At 38.4% G+C, this 21,609-nt stretch overlaps 2 protein-coding genes across 31 annotated transcripts in view, besides 2 other annotated features; one reads left to right on the top strand and one right to left on the bottom strand.

Annotated features, from left to right (window-relative positions):
- EYA4 (EYA transcriptional coactivator and phosphatase 4) overlaps positions 1-20,346 on the bottom strand; it is a 291,536-nt gene extending 271,190 nt beyond the window's left edge. For 20 of the 30 annotated variants that reach the window (XR_001743219.3, XR_001743220.3, XR_007059221.1 and 17 more), the window contains exon 1: positions 19,190-19,582. The gene's annotated coding sequence lies outside the window, so the exon portion shown is untranslated. Of the gene's footprint in view, positions 1-19,189; positions 19,583-20,101 lie in introns of those variants that run through there. The other 10 variants (XM_017010368.3, XM_047418278.1, XM_047418275.1 and 7 more) reach the window with 1 other exon arrangement.
- LOC124901231 (serine/arginine repetitive matrix protein 1-like) lies at positions 7,345-20,619 on the top strand. The gene is made up of 3 exons (XM_047419612.1): positions 7,345-7,426; positions 18,528-18,720; positions 19,283-20,619. Exons 1-3 carry the CDS (start codon positions 7,345-7,347, stop codon positions 20,151-20,153), a joined length of 1,146 nt encoding a protein of 381 aa, XP_047275568.1. The 3' UTR covers positions 20,154-20,619.
- Positions 17,452-18,344: an enhancer, noted in NCBI's record as "H3K4me1 hESC enhancer chr6:133563733-133564625 (GRCh37/hg19 assembly coordinates)". NCBI's record gives its function as "activates a minimal SCP1, AML or CMV promoter by ChIP-STARR-seq in naive and primed H9 embryonic stem cells {active_cell/tissue: H9 hESC(naive and primed)}" and the evidence as "EXISTENCE:reporter gene assay evidence [ECO:0000049][PMID:30033119]".
- Positions 18,345-19,239: an enhancer, noted in NCBI's record as "H3K4me1 hESC enhancer chr6:133562838-133563732 (GRCh37/hg19 assembly coordinates)". NCBI's record gives its function as "activates a minimal SCP1, AML or CMV promoter by ChIP-STARR-seq in primed H9 embryonic stem cells {active_cell/tissue: H9 hESC(primed)}" and the evidence as "EXISTENCE:reporter gene assay evidence [ECO:0000049][PMID:30033119]".

Raw genomic sequence — 21,609 nt, 5'->3', positions numbered from 1 at the left:
GTTGTCATTATCTTCTTTTATGGCGATGGGCAGGAAGCAAAAGCAAGAGGCAATCCACAGAGGAAGGAGTCTAAAAAGTTTGTCACATTTATTGGAGGGGGGATAGAAAAACTCGGCCCACCATCAGATTCAGCAAAGAAGCCTGTCCTATGATGGAGCCTTTGGGAAGAGAATAAAAGAAAATAATTTCTTGAGTGAGATAAATCAAAACTTCAGCCTTGCAGGATGTAAATTCTAAATGTTTACTGCATCTGTGGTATGGAAACCTCAAGACAAAAAAATAAAATAAAATAAAGACTGACCTAGAGGTTTGAAATCCCTAGACTCCAGGGGAATGCAAAATTGCTCCACAGAGTACAAAGGGTTCTAAGAGAGAAATCCACCAAAAGTTATAAACTACAGGCGAGGTGCGGTGGCTCATGCCTGTAATCCCAGCACATTGGGAGGCTCAGGCAGGCAGATCACTTGAGGTCAGGAGTTTGAGGCCAGCCTGGCTAACATGGCGAAACCCCTTTTCTACTAAAAATACAAAAGTTAGCTGGGCATGGTGGTGGGCACCTGTGATCCCAGCTATTCGGGAGGCTGAGGCAGGAGAATCGCCTGAACCCAGGAGGCAGAGATTGCAGTAAGCCAAGATCGTGCCACTGCACTCCAGCCTGGGCAACAGAGCACAACTCCATCTCAAAAAGAAAAAAAAAATTATAAGCTACATAAAGAAACAAAACACAGTAGAGAGTAGCCACAACAACAAATTAGGAATCTAAGAATGTGAAACTACAGAGCAATGTGGAAAAAACTAGATAGGTATACTTAAAACAGACACAAAAGAAACAGAAATAAAATTGAAAAGCCACACACGAAAAAAATATACACACAAACCTGGAAGAGAACCATAAAAATGTTTTTAAAAATATATTCACTGAATTTTTTTACAAGAAACAAACTAAACAGCAAATTAGATACATCTAAAGAAATAATTTATGAACTACAAGGTAAATCTGGTAAATCTCAAGAAGTGTGTGCCCATCCCCATAAAAGAAAATAATGACAACAAAAACAATAACAAAATCACAATTATATCTTTCCAAACAACTTTTCTATAACATTAATTTCTCAGGAATCAAGGTGTGACACCTGTGAGTCATATTCTTTATTATGGGGAGGGAGAAGTCCCAAACACAACAAAGTAAACATGAGAGTTATATAATATGGCAATAAATCTGATTCATCTAATGCCAAGTTACTGATTTGAATTGTGTCTATAGTGAATACTAATTAAGAATGTAATTAAATAAGATGCTGTTTGCTTTCCTTAAATTTGGGACACTTGAGGAAATTTTATTGATCCAGATTTTTAATTGAGGCATCCAGGAAAGTTTGAGTACCCTTTTTCCTCTCAATAAATTCCCCTGTAGCATTTGAATATAAAAATCATTCCACTGACTCTGTAACTGAATTAGAAGTAGGGCCACCTTTACCAAAAACTGCCCTTATAGCTTCTAAAAATCCAAAGACCTTTAAAAGGGCTGAAGTTGTAAGAATTCAGAAAATAATGTATCAAATACATTTGGTGTTTTGAGTCAACTCAACGTTATGCTTCCCTGCTATGTGTCCTGCTTTCACATGTATGGCAGGCTGTTAGATATTAGGAGTATGCTGTCATTCCTGTCATTCCTAATCTTTTTCTCTCAAGTTAAGTACGGTGCCCCTGGTTAACAAGACCACTTCTTCAATTTAAAAAAAAATCTTTGTTTCCCAACAGGGAATTATAAGGGAATTCAGTCAGCCACAAAAGCATAATTGCTTAGGAAATGCATTAAGTGGAAGGCAGATATAAACTAGGTCATAGTGCATCATTATTTTTAAATCACTCAATTATAAATTGACGTATTAATATAGATCAACATTAATGTATACCAAAGTATCACATTTATACCCAAATAAAAATGTAAAGGAAAACCAATTAGCTGAAATAGAAATTAATGATGATAATCTTCAAAGCAGCAAGAATGCACCTTTGAGAAAGACCCTAGGGTTCTGTTTGCTTGTTTGTTGGAGACTAAATTATTCTTCAGTAAAATTGAAGGGGGAAAAAAGACTAACGTTTAAGCTACAGGAAGATGTGGTTTGCCTGGTACTTGGATGTTCTTTGTAGAATCTACAAGTTCATCTCCCAGGGGTCCAAATGCTCTTGGACCTAAAAAGCCCCCGGGAAAGAACTCTTCCAAGGGAAGAGATGGAGAGCCATACAAGCAGAAACCAAGTCTGAGTCCTAAGTCTTGGGGCTGCAAGAAAAGAACAAGAGAACAAGCCAAAAAAGTTGCCCACTAAACTCTCTATAGAAGGGGAGGAGGGCAGGTGTCATCACTACGTACTCTGAAGTCTCTGTTACAGGGTACTGGACTGAGGGAAGTTGCTAGACACTTTCCTCATTTCAAATTACTTGTAACCCCAGCAGTTCGATCAAAAAATATAACTCCGCAAGCTGATGGAAAGAAACGAATTTGGTGAAGAAAGCGCGGGAAAATACTGGTTAAACTAGTAAGAAAAAGATCGCAATAAAAAAGAATTTAAAGCGTGAGAACTGAAATCAGGAAGATGGCAGAATGAGAAGCAGAATAATTTGCCCCCTCTCTCTTGACTGAACCAAATGTAAAGACATCAGGTGGTAGAGATGTGGATACTAGTCCTTACAGTACTCTCTAAGAGTGCTATGGTTTTTCCTCGTCCCCACTCTATGCCCCAGGCATCTCCTCCAGGGCTTCAGCCAAGTTCTTGTTCAAGCACTTGAACAAACTAGATTCACTCCTGAATTAGCTTCAGGTGCTGCCCATAGACACTGCTATGGCCCACACTTGGACAATCCAGCTTGGTTTTCTTAATGTCTTAATTTCTTTTTCATGATCGTGAAAAAAATGCAATGAGTTTCTTTGAAGAAATATCTAAGATATATAAATTCAGAATATTCATAGTCCCTAAATCAAGACTGTATCATACAAAAACACCGATTCTTTTAAAATGCATGAATGAGTGAATGAGTGCATAAATAGTCAATAGTGCATAAATGCATGCATGAATGAATGAATGAGAGCATAAATAAGCAAATAAGGAAATATACTTCTAAAGCACATGTCAGGAAATGGATAAATTACGTTTCATGAAGTTTCAGATTGAATCAGGCAAACAGAATTGTAGATTTCTATGTCTGCCATGACTCAGTGTATAGCTTTGGGAAAACCTTGTAATTTCTCCATACTTCAGTTTCTCACCCTATAAAAGGAGTATATTGCTTGAAATTTAATTCCCTCACAGCAGTGAGAGTTTTGATTCAACGTTTATAAAACGTTTTTTAGCTTCCCTGATTAATAGGCAAAATACTGTGGTAGTTTGTATAATACATTTTCCAAAAAGGATAAAGGTAACTGGTCGAATCTGATGTAAAATAATACTTTACTCAAGAAATAAATATCAGTCATATTTATTACCTCTCCATTTCATTTGCTAAGTAATAAAAATTACTTCTAACAGAAAAGTATCAAATTAATATTCAAGCCAGTTGAAGTGTTATCATCACAGGCCTCACCTACGTTGGGGGAAGGAGAGTTGTTTTGTTTTTCCAGGCTACCCCACATGTTTATATGGTAAAGTCAGGAATGTTGGGCACAGTTTTGAAGGCCTCTAGCGTATTCATTGGTTTCTGGCATTCTAATGCACTCTACTCTTATAACCATAAAAGTACTCTTGAGTGCTTCTGGAAATATATAACAAATCCTTAATCAATTTAAGAGTGTTTTAACTGCATACATGAAATTTCTTGGGAGGAAAATATTAGCTATTCTACACACATACAGTACTTAAGTTAGCAAGAGAGTTCCTTCTGAAAGGCACAAAGCAGCTTCCCCATAGTAATATAATTTTCAGTTTTATATGTGTAAGTCCTATTGAATCCCTTAGAATAACAGGAAATTCTGCAGGAAAAAAAACCCCACAAAAATTGATAGCCATATTTATTCAATGCAAGAGGAATACATTAGCTATTCTGAGTTGGACTACTTTTTAAAGGCACTAGATAACCATTGAAGATTAATCAAAATCTTAACCAAAAACTACAAGAACTGAATATTCTGGAGACAGAATTTTCTACATATAAAAATCGAACAACAAAATCAACTGATTAATATACTTCATTTTAAAACTGTATCTATCAGATTACTTTAGCCAGCATTTGAGTAGCAATTTTCTGGATTTTGATGCATTAACTTTTATTTCCACATTAAACAGATTATAATAAGTAACAGATTTATAAATTAGTCATTGATATGACACAACTGATATTGTGACATGTATAATAATATTTATCAACACATTTATAATGGAGTAATGTCATTTATTACTTATACAATGTCTATACCTTTCATCTCTATGTTAAAAAGCTATCGTAATATATGTAAGGTGCTTAGAACTGTGCCTGGCACAGAGTAGGCTCTTACTAGAATAACAATATATCATTCCTCATAAGTTCTCACCAATCACATGAGAGTTAGAACCATTTCTCCTAATAATTCTGGTAAATATTTGATGGTACTAAGTAAAAAAAAATGTAGTGAATATAATATTACTGATTTATTTCTTCCTAACATTTGGGCTTACGAACCATAAGTAAATATAATATGCATTCATAAAAATGAATACTAAATATTCTTAAGTGAGAAACTAATTATATAAATTATATGTATATATTAAATATATATCGTTAATAGAATTATTTATCCTAATCATAGTGGAGTATTCCGATTACTATATGAGTTTCAAGGAATTTACTACTATAACCATTTTTCTTAACCAGAGCACAAATAATTACAAGGTTCAATTAAGTTGAAATTTTTGCACCTGGTTTTTGTGAGAAAGATGAGAATATTACCTTAAAGATGCAAGATTCATAAATCTTTTTAAAAAGCATTTTGGTATTTTCTATGGAAAATGCACATACATATTTATCTATTAATATTGCATCTAGAGTTTTATCTACAGATATTTTTGGCAGATGTACGAAGAGACATAAAAATCATCAGTGCAACATACTTAGTAATAGTAAAAATATGGAAGCAATGTAAACATACACCAAGAGGGGAACAGTGAAATTATGAAATATCTGCATACATTAAATAGAAGCACCCAAAACTATATGTACTGATGTGGAAAAATATTCAAGATTCAGCAGATCAAAAGCAAGTTTTAAGGAAATCAATGATCCTATTGGAGTTAAAAATGTAAAATGAAAATAAATTACATCCTCACATAGTTATTACATTTACACATATATAGAAAAAAAAATGCCTGAAAAGATGCACATCTAAGTATAACAACTTATCCTGATTTGCAGAGAATAAGAATGAGTAAATCCACTTTTTACTTTAAATATATCCGTATTTTTAAAACTTTTTAAGAAAGTATAACATATGCACAGTAAAATAAAATACATAAATCAAAAGTTGATCACTGATGAATTTTTATTGAATAAACACTTTCACATGACCAGCAACCAAACCAAGATAAAAGACATAATCAGCATTCCAAAGCCTCTCTCTTGCTCCCTCTGGTCATTCCTCTCAAAAGTAACCTCTATCATCTCTGTTTTAATATGTTATACAAAGTATGACTTATTTGTATTTTTTAAGTAACAGATTAAAAAAAAAAACTTGCTTTAGCAGCATGAATTTCCTTCTCTGAATATCAAATACACTCAGCATTTTATTCCAAGATATCAATTCAAACTATAACCTGAGCTTTTATAGTGGGCCAGGCACTGAACCAAATGTCTTTCCTGCATGAATTCAATTATTCCTTACAACTCCATGAGGCGAGTACTGTTATTATTCCCCATGTACACATGCTGGAACTATGGCTTACAGCCACTCAGAAAATTACATGACCAAAGTCACATCGCTGATGAGTGGCAGAGCCTGGATACACACAAAGGTAGTCTGATTCCAGCATTCTCAACTCCTCATCAGAAACAAACAAATAAAAATAAAGTGGTAAGATGTAGAGTTGGGAGCATGAAGTGTCCCCAGCATGAAGTTCTCTTTTTCTGTTTTGTTCTGAGTAAATGACTTAAGGTCTTAAGGTCACATAATACAACATCTCATCTGCAAAATGGAAGGGTTAGGCTAGATCTCTCTTCTGATCTGATCATCTGACGCTGATAAATAAAGTGACCCACTGAAACACAGAGCAAATATGCTTTGTCATGATGTAGTGCAATCATGTACTGCACTATGCTAAAAAATGACTCATACAAGAAAATAAAACCACAATTTTTGAAACTATTGGAAACAATAATCTTAATTTAATGTTATTTCTGGACATAGGAAGACTTTCCCCCCTAAATAAGCAAATTGGTGGTTTTTGAAGGGTCTTGCTCATCTTTGTATGGAAAATGCCTAAAAACAAACCACTAAAAACTAAACAAAATTTTTTTACTTCCTCAATTGTGCCTGAAAAAAAAGATGTAATTTCCCTCAGCAAAAGGCCACGTATATTTTTAATAGATACATCTGGGATTTTTGGTCCTCACATTTTGAAACACTGACACAAACAAATACAGAACATGCTTTCTCTCAAATGAAATCTATAATTCTGAGGGTTAAAAATTCTTCAAAATAACATGAAATCGATCTTAGCAGAAGGCAACCAAAGAGATCAAGGTCTGTTTCTGGAGAAAACTAGAATTATGAAGACCATAAACCTCAACGAGAAATCTGTCTTTTAAATGTCAGTTTATTGAAAATACCAATGTACGCCGGACATACCTGTTTTTCCACTAGAAAATCAGTAATACTTTGGTACAAATGAGGCTTTAAATAAGTTGGAGTAGAAAATAACCAATAAACCAGCTTTCATGACCACAAGCAAAAGAGAACCAGTTTTCCAAAAAGTTAACAGGATTCATCCTTTGCAGATGTCTGGTTTGGGACCTAATGCCCTTTAAAGATATGCATGGAATAGTGCAGTCACTTAATTTCCATTAACATCTCCAGGTGTTGAGGTTACGGAGGGAAAAAGATATGATCTCTCCCCTCTGTGAGTTCATAGTCTCTCTAGAAGACAGACACATACAATGAGCCCCAACACAATCTGCTGTTATATTAACAGTCCAAAAAAAGTGCTATGGTATTACACAGAGAAAAGAACTAATTCTGCCTGAGCCTTAAGGAAGGCTTCACAGAGGAGGTGACATTTGAGCTAAGCCTTGAAAGATGAGTAGATTATTATTATTATTATTATTTTGTCCAGGTAGGCAGCAAAAGAGCACTAGGCAAGTAGGTTAAGGGAGTTGGGGCCATGGAGGATAAGGGTGGTGAGAATATGCCAGGGAGAAAAAAGGAAGTGACTGACGGCATTATAAGAAATAAAATGTTCATAAGTAAGTCTTACCACATTAGGACCCACTATACAAAGAATCAACCTGAGAAAGGAGATATGTGACTTGAATACTCTGTGGGGTTCCTTGATTTATGAACCCAGGAAGTGCTCATTTGGAAAAATAGAACCTCTGGGTTTTTGGCCGTTCTCCAGTAACTAAAGGGCTACTAGGCTTCCCGTTCAATATCTGGCATAAAGTGCCTGGATGGACCTGTGGTTCGCTGTGCCTTCTTTGGACTTCCTGTCCATGAATGAAGCAGAACTCTCCTCCACTATCTGTGATTTAAACCCCTGTCTCAAATTCTCCGCAACACTCCCCGAGAACGGCCTCCACCTGTCATTGGGTTGCCCAGCACCCACTTTATCTCTCTGCTAACAAGGAGCTATGCAGGGTCCTTCTCCACCTAGGAAACAGAAAAATATTTTGGTCAAACACAGTATGCTGTATTTGCAGCCCTTTGCCACCTAAGCACACATTTCAAAATTAAAGCACAAATCAAAGGAAGTGAGAGAGAGAGAGTGAGTGTGTGTGTGTGTGTGTGTGTGTGTGTGTGTGTGTGTGTGTGTGTGTTTTCAAGTACCTCTACCCTGCCTACTTAGGCATCAATTAGTAAATGATGTGAAATCTCCAGGTTAGTCTGACTGCTTCCATGATTATCTACCTAATACAATTAAAGTACAACCACTAAATTAGACAATGCATAAGTGTGGAATTTCAAGTATCTTTGCAATTTCTAATAAGATAAAAATTATCTACTGTTTAGAACTCTTAAGAAAATTAGTCTAATCATATATTTATAATATTAATGTTTCATATTTCAGAATAATTTTGAAATTCAACCCAAAACTCATATGGGAAAAGTTATCCTCTCTCACTTTATGTGAACATTATTGTTCCCATTTTGTTCAAGTGATTTTTGAAATGTGTTTCATATATGCTTAAATTATGTAAGGGTGGTGCCCAAACAACAGTCAAATTTACTTACATCAATTATATATCATTTCATAGATAAAATGTATTGGTCAACATCAAACCCATAGAATGAGAACTTAAAAGTTTGGATCTGAGAATTCACAAAAGAGAGTTTTTACATGTAATATATTTATTTTTACTTTCTTCTAGCTGTACAAATGTTATTAACTCAAGATCTTGAACTTGTGGTTACAACTGAAAGCTACACATAATTCTTTTGAAAATTTCTCATTACAAACAAATAATTTAACTCACTAAGTATTTTAATCTTCAGCAGTTGTGATTATCAGTAACTTTACCTTTTCTAACACTACAGACTAAATAAAATAAAAGTTTCTTATTACTGAATATTTACCCACAGAAATGGAAAGGCAATGGTCATTATTTAAAAATAAATCCAAACTATCTACTGACAAATAACCGGAAGAAAAGACACATAGATGATTCAAATAAATATTTACTTCCTACATACTCTCTCTCAGGTATTCTGTTACTCCCACTCATATATTATTTCCAGAAAAGGAAAATATGCTGGAGATGGTCAATCTGTGTGAAGCGTATCTGTAAATCCCCTCTGTGCAAAGTTAATCTATCAACACAGACTAATGAGAATTGTTTGACTTCATGTTTAAACTTGGGAGGAAGGTATTAGGATTCTCCACACTTGACTGGAAATAGAACAATCCTCTTATGCAGAGCCCTGGGAGTTTTTTGACTATATCAAATGATATTAAGATCTGCTTAGGTTATGGGTTCTCAAGAAGAGGCAATTTTGCTCCCAGAGATCACCTGACAATGTCTGGAGACACCATCATTACCAGGGGAGGGAGGGTCCCTGGCATCCAGCGATGCCACTAAGCATCCTACCAGGCACAGGACAGTATCCCCTGAATAAATTATCCAGCCCAAAATGTCAATAACCAGAGCTTGAAAAACTCTTATTTAAATATACTGAAGAATTCAGGTACAACGTTATCATTTTTAAAACTATACAGATACACCTGGTAGCAGTTCCAGACAAGCTGTAAAAATGAGACCTTGACAATTAATATTTTAACTTTCCTTTTTCCTTCAGCCCCATCCTGCCACATAGCCATTATATCTGAATCCAAGTGATAAATTCTGTAAGTAGAGGTACTAATTACCTCCTACTGTCTCTCTAAAGGTAAGAATCATAGCAATATGTAAAGCTACCTTTTAAAAAGTTTACATTGAGTTCATCAGGCCCACTGACTATTGAAAATTATACAAATTCTCATAATTGGTACCTTACGGCTGAAAAAAAAGCAACTGAGGAAACTTAAATATTGGCTATAAAGTACTACCATTATACAACGTGCTTATAATTGCTTAAAGTAGTTAAGGAACCACACAGATTAAAGCTCTAAAACAATCTAGATTACTGTATGCGGAAATATTTACTAAAAGAAATATTACTGCACAACGTAAATGGCCAATGCCAACTGTTGAGCACCTATAGTGTCTTCTCTTAAGGCTCCAAATACAACCTCAGATTTGCCAAGATGACCCACAGTATCTAATTTATACTTGGACTACTGGACACTCCATTTATGGTCACCAATCCATAGCCCCCCAAAAAAGACCTTCAGCTCTAAATATCTCTGGAACATTTGGGGGTAATCTAATGAAAGATACCCAATCATAGTAATAACAACTGATACTCATATCAAGCACTACTCTAAATATATTTACATATATTTACTCATTGAATTCTCATCAGAACCCCATGAGGCATGTTCTGTTACACATGAGAAACTGAAGCAAAATCTGTTTCAGTAATGTGTTTGATGTTACAAACTCATCAATGTTAGAGCTGAGGTCTGAACCCAAGTGCCTGGCTCCATATTCTTCTTCCTTTTTATTTATTTATTTATTTTTGAGATGGAGTCTCACTCTGTTGTCCAGGCTGGAGTGCAATGGTGCAATCTCAGCTCACTGCAACCTCTGCCTTCTGGGTTCAAGTGATTCTCCTGCCTCAGCCTCCCGAGTAGCTGGGATTACAGGCGCCCACCACCACGCCCAGCTAATTTTTGTATTTTTAGTAGAGACGGGGTTTTGCCATTTTGGTCAGGCTGGTCTCGAACTCCTGACTTCAGGTGATCCATCCGCCTCGGCCTCCCAAAGTGCTGGGATTACAAGTGTGAGCCACCGCGCCCAGCCCCCATATTCTTTCTACTTACTCACTGTGCTATAAGAACTGAGTCTCTCAGATTTCAAGTACTATGAAATTACCGTATCTCCAGAGATTTTCAGGATCCTTGGCTTATCCACCAGATCACTGACTTCCCAGTGGTAAGAAATAAACACATTTCTACATTCACGTATACATACATATAACCTAAGCCTGGATTCACAGCTGCAATTCTACTGGGTTTATACCAAAACTCCCTGAGGTTGTTATTGAGGTAGTCCCACCTTGTAATAGTCACTGCCCTTCTCACTGTTCCCAGTCTCAAGGAGGGGATGTTCAGTGTCACAATCTCTGCTCTCATTCCCAGTACCTCTACTCATTCATTCAATGGGAATATAACAACTACCTACTGACTATATGTCCAGCAGTGCACTGTGCATTAGCGATACAGAAATGACAAATACAGCTAATCCTTCCAGTAAATTCTCAGCTTAAAGCAGGATTTAGACTAATGTAATCTATTACATTTCAATGTGGCAAGGGCTATGTTAAATGTAGAAGCTGGATGCTTTGGGAGTAACAAGAAAGAAACGTTCAACTCAGACTCTGGAGGTCAGAGGAACTTATCAGAGGAGCTAACATTTTGCACCTTAAGTATTGAAAAAGCAGTAGAAAAGATATTTGCAGGGGGAGAGGGGCGATGTTTTCCAGAGAAAAAGCATTCCACGCACAAAGAAATGAAGTGGAAATGTCCAAGGTGTATTTGAGAACTGCAGTTTTCCATACAGCTGGAAAAGAGAGTTGTTGTGAGTGGGGAGTGAGAGATGAGAAGAGCAACCTGAGCAAGGTTCTCAGTATGAAGGGTTATCTTCCCTGCAGAGAATTTTGGAATTTGCCCTATAGGCAGCAGGCAAATTTTTTAAGGAATTTTAAGTCCAGGAGGGACCTCATAAAAATCATGAACAAATGTGGTTGAATATCTTAGGGACGTGAGAGAGTGTTAGAGACAGCTTCAACACAGTCCAGAATGGGCCCCCAGGAGAGGCATCAAGATATTATAACTATATTTGTTATGACAACATTAATACGAACAAGTGTGTATAGGACAATTGTCCACCTAAAGCTAATTTGAATACCTGAGGATTAGACCTGTGACCTTGGTTACAATGATTCTCTCTCTAAATATTCCTGGGAATGGTATGTAAAAATATAAGAATACAATAAAAGCTCCAAAGTCTTCAAAGCCATGCAGAGTAGAAAAGAAATCTATCCATCCCACTCTAATTTTGCAAGTCTTCAGCAACACTGATAAGGAAAAAGCATTTAACAAGCATTTACCAAGTACCCACAACTTTGCTAACCATTTTCATGAACGAAACCTTTAAAAACTAAAGTCAACAATTAAGGGAAAAAACTAGACCTAAATTAAAATTCTTCATGAGTCAACTAAGAAAAATAACAGTACCATCATCTTATCAACTAAAGTTAATGCAAAAACAAACAAACAAAAAAAAAAACAAAATAAAACAGTAGAATTGCCGTTCTTGACAGGTTTATTGAGGTTTGCATGCTTAAGTTACCTACTAGAAGCATTGTTTTAGATTACTGGAAAACCTGCAAAAGGAAATCTGAATGTGATTCACCTACAACGTCATTAAATTTAGCAAGAATGACTTGAGTCATAACCGCACATGAATATACATTTGCATTCAAATGTAAGAGAAAAGAATTAGGTAATGTAGAGATCTGCTGATTCCCCCAAGTCATCATCACTTTCAACATACTGAAAACATTAAGTTAGAAATATTCAATCTCTTAATCAGAACATTCGGTTCTTTTCAAATCTTTTAACATTAGGGAGTTCAAAGTCAGAGGTGAAATGTAATGAATAGATCACTCCGTTGGGTATATGCAGAGGTCTGTGAATTGTATATATGACCTTGTGCATAATGAGCCCTCCCGGTATGTGGTACACCTACTTGATTAGGGATAGAATTTCAAACTCTGTACTGTTGCTTTTGTGAGTAGAATTAAACTTAATGGCACATGAATGTAAATTTTTATGATTTAATTGTAGTCTTTCACAAGAAATGTCCCTTTCATTTTAAAAAGAAAGGGGGAAAGGATAACAGAAATAGTAGCAATAATTTACGTGAAAATCTAAAGTCATGTCAAGTTAGGCCACTGCTGGTGTTTCTTCTTACAGTCTTTAAAGGAGGAAAGATGTTCTAATTAATAAAGTCAACCTTTGCAGGTACAAGTCCTTTGTGCCTCATTCAGACCTGTAACTACACACAGGGAACATTTTGATCAGTTTTAATTTTCTCAGTGCTAAATCGAATTTGAAGACTGGTTAATACGGATACTCAAGTTATAGAAGGGAGAGTAGACACACCTTTCTGCTGATATGTCACACTGGGAGATATTTTACCGTATCTGACAGTCTGTTTTTTAGTGATGCCACATGAACATGTTAGGGCAGGTACTCTGAATTAACCCCTTTTGTCAGAAGACTTGAATTTTTTTGCAGCAGTTTCCATACATTGAAGACACTTAGAGAGAACTCCAGAGGCGGCGGCCACCGTGAGAGGGTACTGTTGGTGAGTCATTCTCAGGCTACCTACATCCTGCTTCACCTAGAGCAGTGGCACATTTCTCTACTGGGCATATCATCAGTTTCCATTTAAATGAAAGGATCCGTGGCTGAGTATATAAGTAAATAAAAAAATGAAAACCACTGCTTCAGTGGAAAAATACTATAAAATTGTAAAACAGGTTATTAACAGCAAAAGTATTTACCTACAGAAAACCTTACACATGCGATAACCAGATAAATTGAATGTATTTCCAAAATATGGGCAGCTCCATTATAATTTAAACCTGCCTCCAGAAGTCCATCATGCACTCTTTAACTCTTCAAGCCTTATTAGTTGGTTCAACATAAATGTGCAGATTTGAGATTCAAAACCAGCATTAAAACAACAAAAAACAAAAACAAAGAAAATACAAAGTTGATAACATTTAACCAATTTGGATAAGGCTTGAAGAGCAAAGGAAGATTCCACATGTTAGTTAAATATTTAAAAGATCTGGTCATAAGTTCTTGATAATTGGGAAACATTACAAAATACAGCATTTCTCCAAATTCAGTCATTTGCTGTCCAGCCTTCATGACTGTGGTTATTTAGGCCATATTCTTGTTCACTGTTACTTAATACGTTTCTTCAGATACTTAATTTTTTTTCTTTGACTTCAATACTTTGTTTGGTCTTGTCTCAAACAATATTGCCCATGAAGTTACAGGTTTAATACAAAATTTAACAAATTTTTCTAATATCTAGTTATCCTTACATAAAATATAAGTATTATTAAAACAAAATGTTCAGGTACCACCTAAAAATGGTGGTATATGACTGATGGAAGCAAGAGCCCAGCACACGCTTAAGGATAAGGGTGCTGGCCTCATACTGGGGAGTTAGGATCCTGGCTCCACTGTGCTGCATGACTGGGTCTCAGCTTCCTTATCTGTAAAATAGGAATAACAAAAGTACCTAATTTACGGCATAGTTAAGAAGATTAAAATTAGCTAATCCATATAAATGCTTAAAACAGTGTTTTGCACGAAATTCCTGAGTAAATGCTAGCTATGATGTTATGATGGTGATAGTGATTAATATTATAGTAATAATGACAGCCAAATTGTAATTATCTAAAGACTACAGTGACCACTTTTATTTAAAAATACACTTTAGGATATAAATATACTCAAGAAAATATGCTCTCATATTTGACATCTACATTAATATATGCCTTGGTGATACAAAAGCTATTCCACATTGGTTTAACGCAATTTCACTTTGAAAATATTCATGTGATAATAGGAATCAGACTTTGCCTAAAAATTATAACCTAAATAAACTACCTGTGCAGAAAAAAAAAAACTAAAAAATTCTAACACGATAGAACATATAGGTCTTTCTCCTACTGTCCAAAAGTACGTTAAAATAAATTTACTTACTGTATGTAAATAAAAGCTTTAAAAATATGAACATACTGTATTAAAACATTTCATATTGGAAAAAAATGAGAATTTCTGGTATTTTAGAATGGTGTCTTTCTTCATCATCCATGCACTGAAATCTCAGGGTAAGAAAAGGGCCAGACCAACTCTGAAAGGTTTCAAATATCAAACTATACTATTGTGTCAGTACCCTAAGATCAATTAGCACCTTTCAATGACAAAAAAGGTTACAGTGAGACTCAGAGGTGCACTCTCTGAAACTGTCTCAAATCACTATATAAATGTGGTTTTGATAACACAAAATGGTTTCTATTTTAAATTAATCAGTTTCATCTCTTTTTCTGGAGGTGTGAAAGGGGTTAGGGGAGTAAGAATAGTAGTGTTCATTTTCAGTATCTCTTTACTAATAAAAAGATGGATGGAGAAACACTAAGAATGACAAATTTCAAGCGTAAAATGACATATCACCAAAGCATATATTAATGTACAGCTCCACAAGCAATATTGAGTGACAGTAATGTTTACAAAGTCTTCAAACCTCTTAAAAGCAATCAAAGTTGCTTGTACTTCTTTTGAATGTGTAACTCTTGTTCATTTTCTTCCACTTAAGTTCAAGCTAAATGACGCCAAGTTTGGCTCCAAAAATGATTTAATGACTATGCAGTGTCCCCTTCATTAAAACACATCTAACTATAAGATGCAGCATTACACATATTGCATCTCACCCATCTCCAGGGCAAATGCCTGAAACAGCATGTCATTTCTTAGTTTAGCAGGAAAAATTCATGAGAGAAGCAGGTACACTGCAATGCCACCCCATTCCCCTGGTGTTGATTTCCTTCACCTAGTAACCATTGTAATAAAATCCCCCAACTGTATTTCTGAATATAATTAGTTTAAGATACTCTACAGGGAGGCACGTTATAAGAGTTTAGCATTTAGTACATGTAAGAATAATATCCATTTAGAAAAAGAAACTGTCAAGATTATATTCTCACTGAAAAAAGAAGAAGGTGTTTTGATAGAGGTTTGTTCAGCTCTTCAATGAGAGGATTCAAAACGTCTCCTACTTTTGATAGCACACTTTTCTATTTATTTCTTAAATAAGTGATCTGAAATATTTACAACCAGACAGTACCTAATTTTAGGTTTTAAGTGCTTTAACAGCTCCATGAAATATGATCAGCAGCTGCAATACAGAACTATGGTGAATAAACTCCTTATAAAGAGGGGCCTGTTTTTACAGAATGTCCAGTGTTCTTGCATTTACCTAACAGAAAAAAATGATAATGAGAAAGCATAATACATACTTGCATTCTTAAATTACTTAACACTTAACTAAGTAGTGAAAAAGATTATCACCCCTCTTCTTGAAATCTGTATAAAAACTGTGAGTTTTTGTGGGGCAAAATAAGTTTGATTATTTGAAAGTTAGAATGTGAACTTCCTAACATTCTAACTTTTTATAACAATAGTCATCGTCTTTCTGTCATTCTATCTTTCTAAAAATCCTAAAAAATCTAATTCCAGTGCATAAAATGTTAAAATGAAATATCAAGCCATATAAATATATTTTTAGACACGACATCAGTCATTTAGAGCTTGCAACAGAGACTGAAAACATGAAATTGGATACTCTATTTCCCGTGGCTATGTAAAATTTATTTACACCCCAAAGTACAACATAAATAAAAAGGAAACTCTTAGAAATGGAGTACTTGTTTTTCCTTTTTTTTTTTTAACCCAAAGAGCCTTATTAAAAGAAAAAAATAAATTATAGCAAAATGACAAGTAACTCATCTGCCAGTCACCCGTCAAAAAAGAAACTTCTATGCAATTTTTTTCTCCAGCTTCTAGAAACCCTCTGAAATTCAGCATCTATTTTTCTTAACAATTAATAATTATTATTCCTTTTTATACAATCACTCCTTTTTATACAAATCTTAAGATTTTAAAAATTTTAAAACTTAAGCCTACTACTTAAAAGAAGTGTTAATTGTGAGTACATACATATATGTGAGACGTTTTATTTTGGAAATGAGAAATTCAATTTCAAATATTCAACAAATACTAATAAAAAGAAAACAACTGAGTAAATCTTATTTTAGTTATAATTGTGAACCAACCGGTAGTTACAATGGTCTTTAAATATTGAAACATACTATTTTCAGGAAATTTACAAAGGAAAACAGGCTTTTGAAAACCATATTGATTGTAGACCTTTACTTATTATGAAAGACAAGTACATATCACTAATAATCAGAGAAAGGAGACATTTTCAACAAATCTAATTATGTTGCTTTCAAAGCTGTAGCTGTCAAAGGTTTTAACATTCTTGTACAGTCATTCCTAAATACGGGTTTAACTTTGAATGACTTACAACTTTTAATCAGGTGGAACAAACTATTTTTACGGTTTATAACAATAAATGTGGGTGTAGTTATGTCTGCTTTCGATATTGTTGCCATAAAAATCAGATTCTGGCAGTCTTGCTCCACACAAAACAATCTGTCTCTTGTTACTACTGCTTTTTGTTTCTTGGGATAATGTTATTTTTAAAAATACACAAATGTCTTTGAATGCAGTCTCCTAAAACGCTCCGTATCACGTATCAAATATTTTTTGGGGGGATTCTCTCCCCACCCCCTCTAGTTTTTGGTTCTTCAGGTTTAAGCTTGCCAATAATATTTTAAAAGACAAAAAAAAAAAAAAAGGCACTGATTCTGCTTAAAACCAAACCGTACCCGGGAAAGGAATTCAAGTACAATCCCTTCCCTAAGGTTTTAAAAACAAAAACAACGCAACAAACAAAAAAACCATCGTCAACTTTCAATCCTGTCAGTCACCTACGTGTAAGTGAAACTTCAGAAGCTGCTGATGGGGAGCCCGCGGTTGTTAAACGCTCCTAAGACTCCCACCTAAATCCCGCAGGAGCCCGCACTGAAACTGACAAACACCCGAGGGTTCACAAAGTGGCCACAGATGAGAAGAGGAACAAAATGCCATATTCCAGGAGGTGTATTTCGCTCCAACAATTACGTTGATCCCAGGGTGCCAAGCCAAAAGGGGTAAGGGAGAAAGAAAACTGTTAAGTATGAGCCCTTAATGTGAAACCTAACCTGTTGGTTCTCTTAGGTATCAGATTTTGGAAGTGTCTGTAATGACAGCCAGGAAAGCAAACTAATGGCCAACGGCCCACTGGGTTTGAACACCAGAGTCCTGTTACCTCCTCACAGATCAAGTACACAACACACACACACACACACACACACACACACGAAGTTGCTCCACGTGGAACTGCTCTGGAACCAAAACACACGCCCGGGCGCTATTCTGCACCTTGGCAGAAAGGGCAGAGGGACCTGCACCTTCCTCCCCTGCCCTCAGGTTAAGATTCATGAATGACTCTCTAGGCCCGCTCGGGATGGCGGGGAGAGGCGCAGGAGACGCGGTGAGAGAGGACAGTCTCCACACCACTCTCCCGCACACACTCTCACCCCAGGCGCAAATCCGTTGTCTTCATAGGAAGGAGAAAGAGGGGTGGTGGTGAAGGGAAACACTATCCTCCCAAGCAGGGAAGAGATGACAAAAATTAAATTGCGCTCTCTGCTTTCGCCCCAGCTCTGCCACCGGACTCGGTCCGCAAATTCCCTAATCGCTCCGAGCTGTTCAGAATCTCGCAAACAAAGGGAGAAAACTCTTTCAAGTGCTACCAAACGAAAGTTCGGGTTGCTGTGCGGCGCAGAATAAAACAAGCACACACACGTCTACTTCCAAACCTCGCTTCACCACGCTAAAAATCCGAGCCATTTCAAGTTCCACTGCCTCCCCAGACCCAGCAGGCTTGGAAGGAGAGAAAAACCTGCTCTACCCAGCCAGGTCCCTTCCTTTGGAGAAGTTATAAGCCTTCCATGGCACCCGCTACTCGAGCCAATGAACGCGACTGCTCTGACAAGGCGCCTCTAATTTCACCGACCCTGGCAAACTGCAGGAGACATTCAGTCCACGCCACATAAAAACTATTAAAGTGGGATCGCCGCAGTTGAAAAGCCCGATCAGTGCCTGGAGATTAGAACGCGAGCCTTTAAAGTACACACGCACCCGGCACCGGGAAAGCCCAGGCGCCTGTGACCCTCCGAAGGACTCTGGGTCAGCATCCTCGCGCCTGGACCATCTAGGGGGTCATCAGAAAGTAATACACGTCATAAGAAAGATGTGGGGGAGACCCCGATGCTCGCGCCTCTGCCAGGTGGAGGCGGGGTGCAGGTAGAAGCCGCGCGCTGGACTGCTGGATGAACTCCGTTACGCGCAGGCTCCGCGCCGACCCCGGAAGGGACAGGCAGGCTCGGAAGGGACCCTTGGGGCTTGGGGACGTCTTCTAGGGCAGAGAGCACCGCTGCGGTCCGAGCGGCCCGGGCCCTCAGGCGTGGGGCACCCGGCCTCCAAGCGCCCCCCGGGGACGCAGGCGCCCACGCACCGTCCAGCTGCGCGTCCTCAGTACCCAGCGCTCGGCGTCCCCGGCGGAGCCTCGCGCACTTTCCCGGAAAGTTTGGGGGTTCTCTCAACTCAGGCTCCCCCGGGAGCCCTGGGGCGGGGGTTGGAAGAAGGGGTCACTCACCTCGTCGCCCGGTCCGCCTCGGGTTCCCGAAGTGTCTGTCCCAGCCGCGGTTCAGTGCGTCCGTAATTAAGTATTTATTCTCGTTCCTTCCAGTGTCGAAGTTTCCCCTTCGCGCTGTGCCTCTGGTGAAAACAGGACATCCCCTTCGGCCACCCCACAACAAATAGCGTACACAAGCGGGGGAGAAGCGGGGCGGAGGGAGAAGCCGGCTCCGAGGGGGAGGAGGAAAGGAGAGGAGCCAAAACTCCGGACTGCGACAGGGGGGAAAGGAGAAGAAAAGAAAATGAGAGAGCGCGCCCAGCCGCCGCAGTCGTCACTCCCCGGCTTTTCCCGCAGCTCTTTCCCCCTCTCTAAGGCAGCGACAACTTCACGTGGACAGGATGGAAGTTTTGCGCGGAAGCCGGGAACGGCCGGAGCGTGCGCCGCGCTGCCGGCAGCCTCGCACTTGCGCAGGGAGGTGGGGCGGGGGCGACGTCGCCACCGGCTACTGCGGGCTCGTGAGGCCGCCGGGGGCCTCGGGGGAGGCCGCCAGGGACGCGGGGGGCGGCGGCGCGCGGGGGACCCACTCCGTTTTTATTTGACCTCGGGTGACTGCCTATTGTCATGGTTTGCGATCTCGCGTGGGGACCGCCCAGGGCCTCGGGGCCCTGGATGTCCCGGGTGGCGCCGCCGTAATCTCCGTGCCCTCCGCGCCGCCCCCACCCCGCCCCCACCCGGGCCGACTCGAGCGGCTGCAGCCTCCAGGCTGAGGGGAGGGACCCGCGACCGCGCTCTCCTCCCTGGGCCGGAGAGCCACTGTCGATCCCCACCTGCTTCTGTGGGGCAGCCCCCGGAATTGCCTGGAACTCTCTCGCTACCCAGTTCCCCTGTGCAGGCCACTGCGGGCCCCCTGCCGGACTCCTTTCCACTTACCCCAAGGGAGGAGACAGAAGGGACTTCGCCTACTTGCAACAACGTGAAATAAAAACCAACCCAGACCAGACTGGGGCGCTTTTTCTGACGGGAGGAAATACCCTTTTCCGTGGAGATATATGTTATGAAGGACTAAGCGGTCTGGGGATAGGCTGTGCTGCGAAGGGCCTGGGCCCCTTCCAGTGCTGCTGGGTGCAGGTATAGGCATCCGTCCCAGACGCCCAAAGGTCAGGCAGCAACGACTTACTTCCAAGGCGGCGTCAGAGCTTCTCTAGGCACATTGCTGAAATGACATTTCGTGTCTAAGCCTTCTGCGCATGCACTACGCGACTACATAGGATTTACGATTTTATACCCACACGTGTGTATGCCACAACCAGGGGACACAGCAAAGGTAGACGGAATAAACAATCCATAAATTTTGCATCCATTTAATCACCTCTTCCAAAAACCTATTGTCTATTTTAGCGGCACCTTCTCTGTCATATTGATAATAAATGTTTTAATTTATTGATAAATCACTGAGTGTCAATCATTGTATTGGTCACTTATGGTACATGAGTTCATTTAACTTCCATGACAACTCTACGGTGGTCATTATTAAGCCGGTATAAAAGATGAGGAAACCAAAGCCCAAAGAATCATGAGTGACTTTTCCAAAGACAAATCCAGTGGTCTCTAATCACAAAGCCTATGATACAACAACCTCTACATTACCTTAGGTGTGGTCTAAGAGATTACAGATTAATCCGTAGAAATTACTCCCATTCAAAGAAAGTTTAGTTTTAATATATTCACTAAGTTACGTTCTGAAAAAGGTTCAGAAAAAAGATTTCATCCTCTACTTTAGGTTGGTCTTATGCAACTGATATGAGCACTGTCTAATTCAAAAGCAGTATCAACCCTGAATACTTATGGTTACAATTTATTTTTTAATGAGTGGGGAATTATCTACAATGCTTAAGAGGCTCTAGAAAAGGTGGTGTTGTAAATTTAAAATGATAAAGGCAGTCGTTGCTGCTCTCATCACTTACTGGGTGTTCTTTCCTGCAGATTTATTTTGGAGGGTGTAGGCATTGCCAGGCATAATGTTTCCTTTTCTGGTTCTCAAGGTAGAAAGGGTTCTGGCAGTGGGGTTGGCACAAAGCGGATTTGGAGCATGGTTGAGAGCACATTCTGGCCTAACGAGGAATGCCAGTTAATATACACTGGAGAGAAAAATATGAATGGACAGATTTAATTAATTTTGCAGATTTATTTTCTCCATTTCACATGTGAGAAAACTAAGGGCTCAGAATTTTTAGAAGCTTGCTAATAAATGGCAGACCTGAGTTTCAAGCCAGCCTTTATTTAAGTCCACTCTTAGTCACTGTGATGCTATTATTAGTATTAATGGTATTCAGAAAAATAGTAATTCTTTTAAATATGTAATATATTACAAGCCAAATATGCAATTTAAATGTTTTGTGAATCATAGTGTCTAAGAATGTTCTGTGGCTATAGCAAAT

Source organism: Homo sapiens, chromosome 6 (genome assembly GCF_000001405.40).
Source record: "Homo sapiens chromosome 6, GRCh38.p14 Primary Assembly".
Lineage (NCBI taxonomy): Eukaryota > Metazoa > Chordata > Mammalia > Primates > Hominidae > Homo > Homo sapiens.
The sequence above is the reverse complement of the archived record's forward strand: the minus strand, read 5'-3'. Positions and strand labels throughout refer to the sequence as shown.

Coding starts and splice junctions, on each gene's coding strand:
- LOC124901231 (XM_047419612.1), top strand. CDS start 7,345: ATGGAGGATAAGGGTGGTGAGAATATGCCAGGGAGAAAAAAGGAAGTG. Junction 7,427..18,527: donor AAGAAATAAAATGTTCATAA/GTAAGTCTTACC, acceptor TGCTCTGACAAG/GCGCCTCTAATTTCACCGAC. Junction 18,721..19,282: donor GACCCTCCGAAGGACTCTGG/GTCAGCATCCTC, acceptor CGTTCCTTCCAG/TGTCGAAGTTTCCCCTTCGC.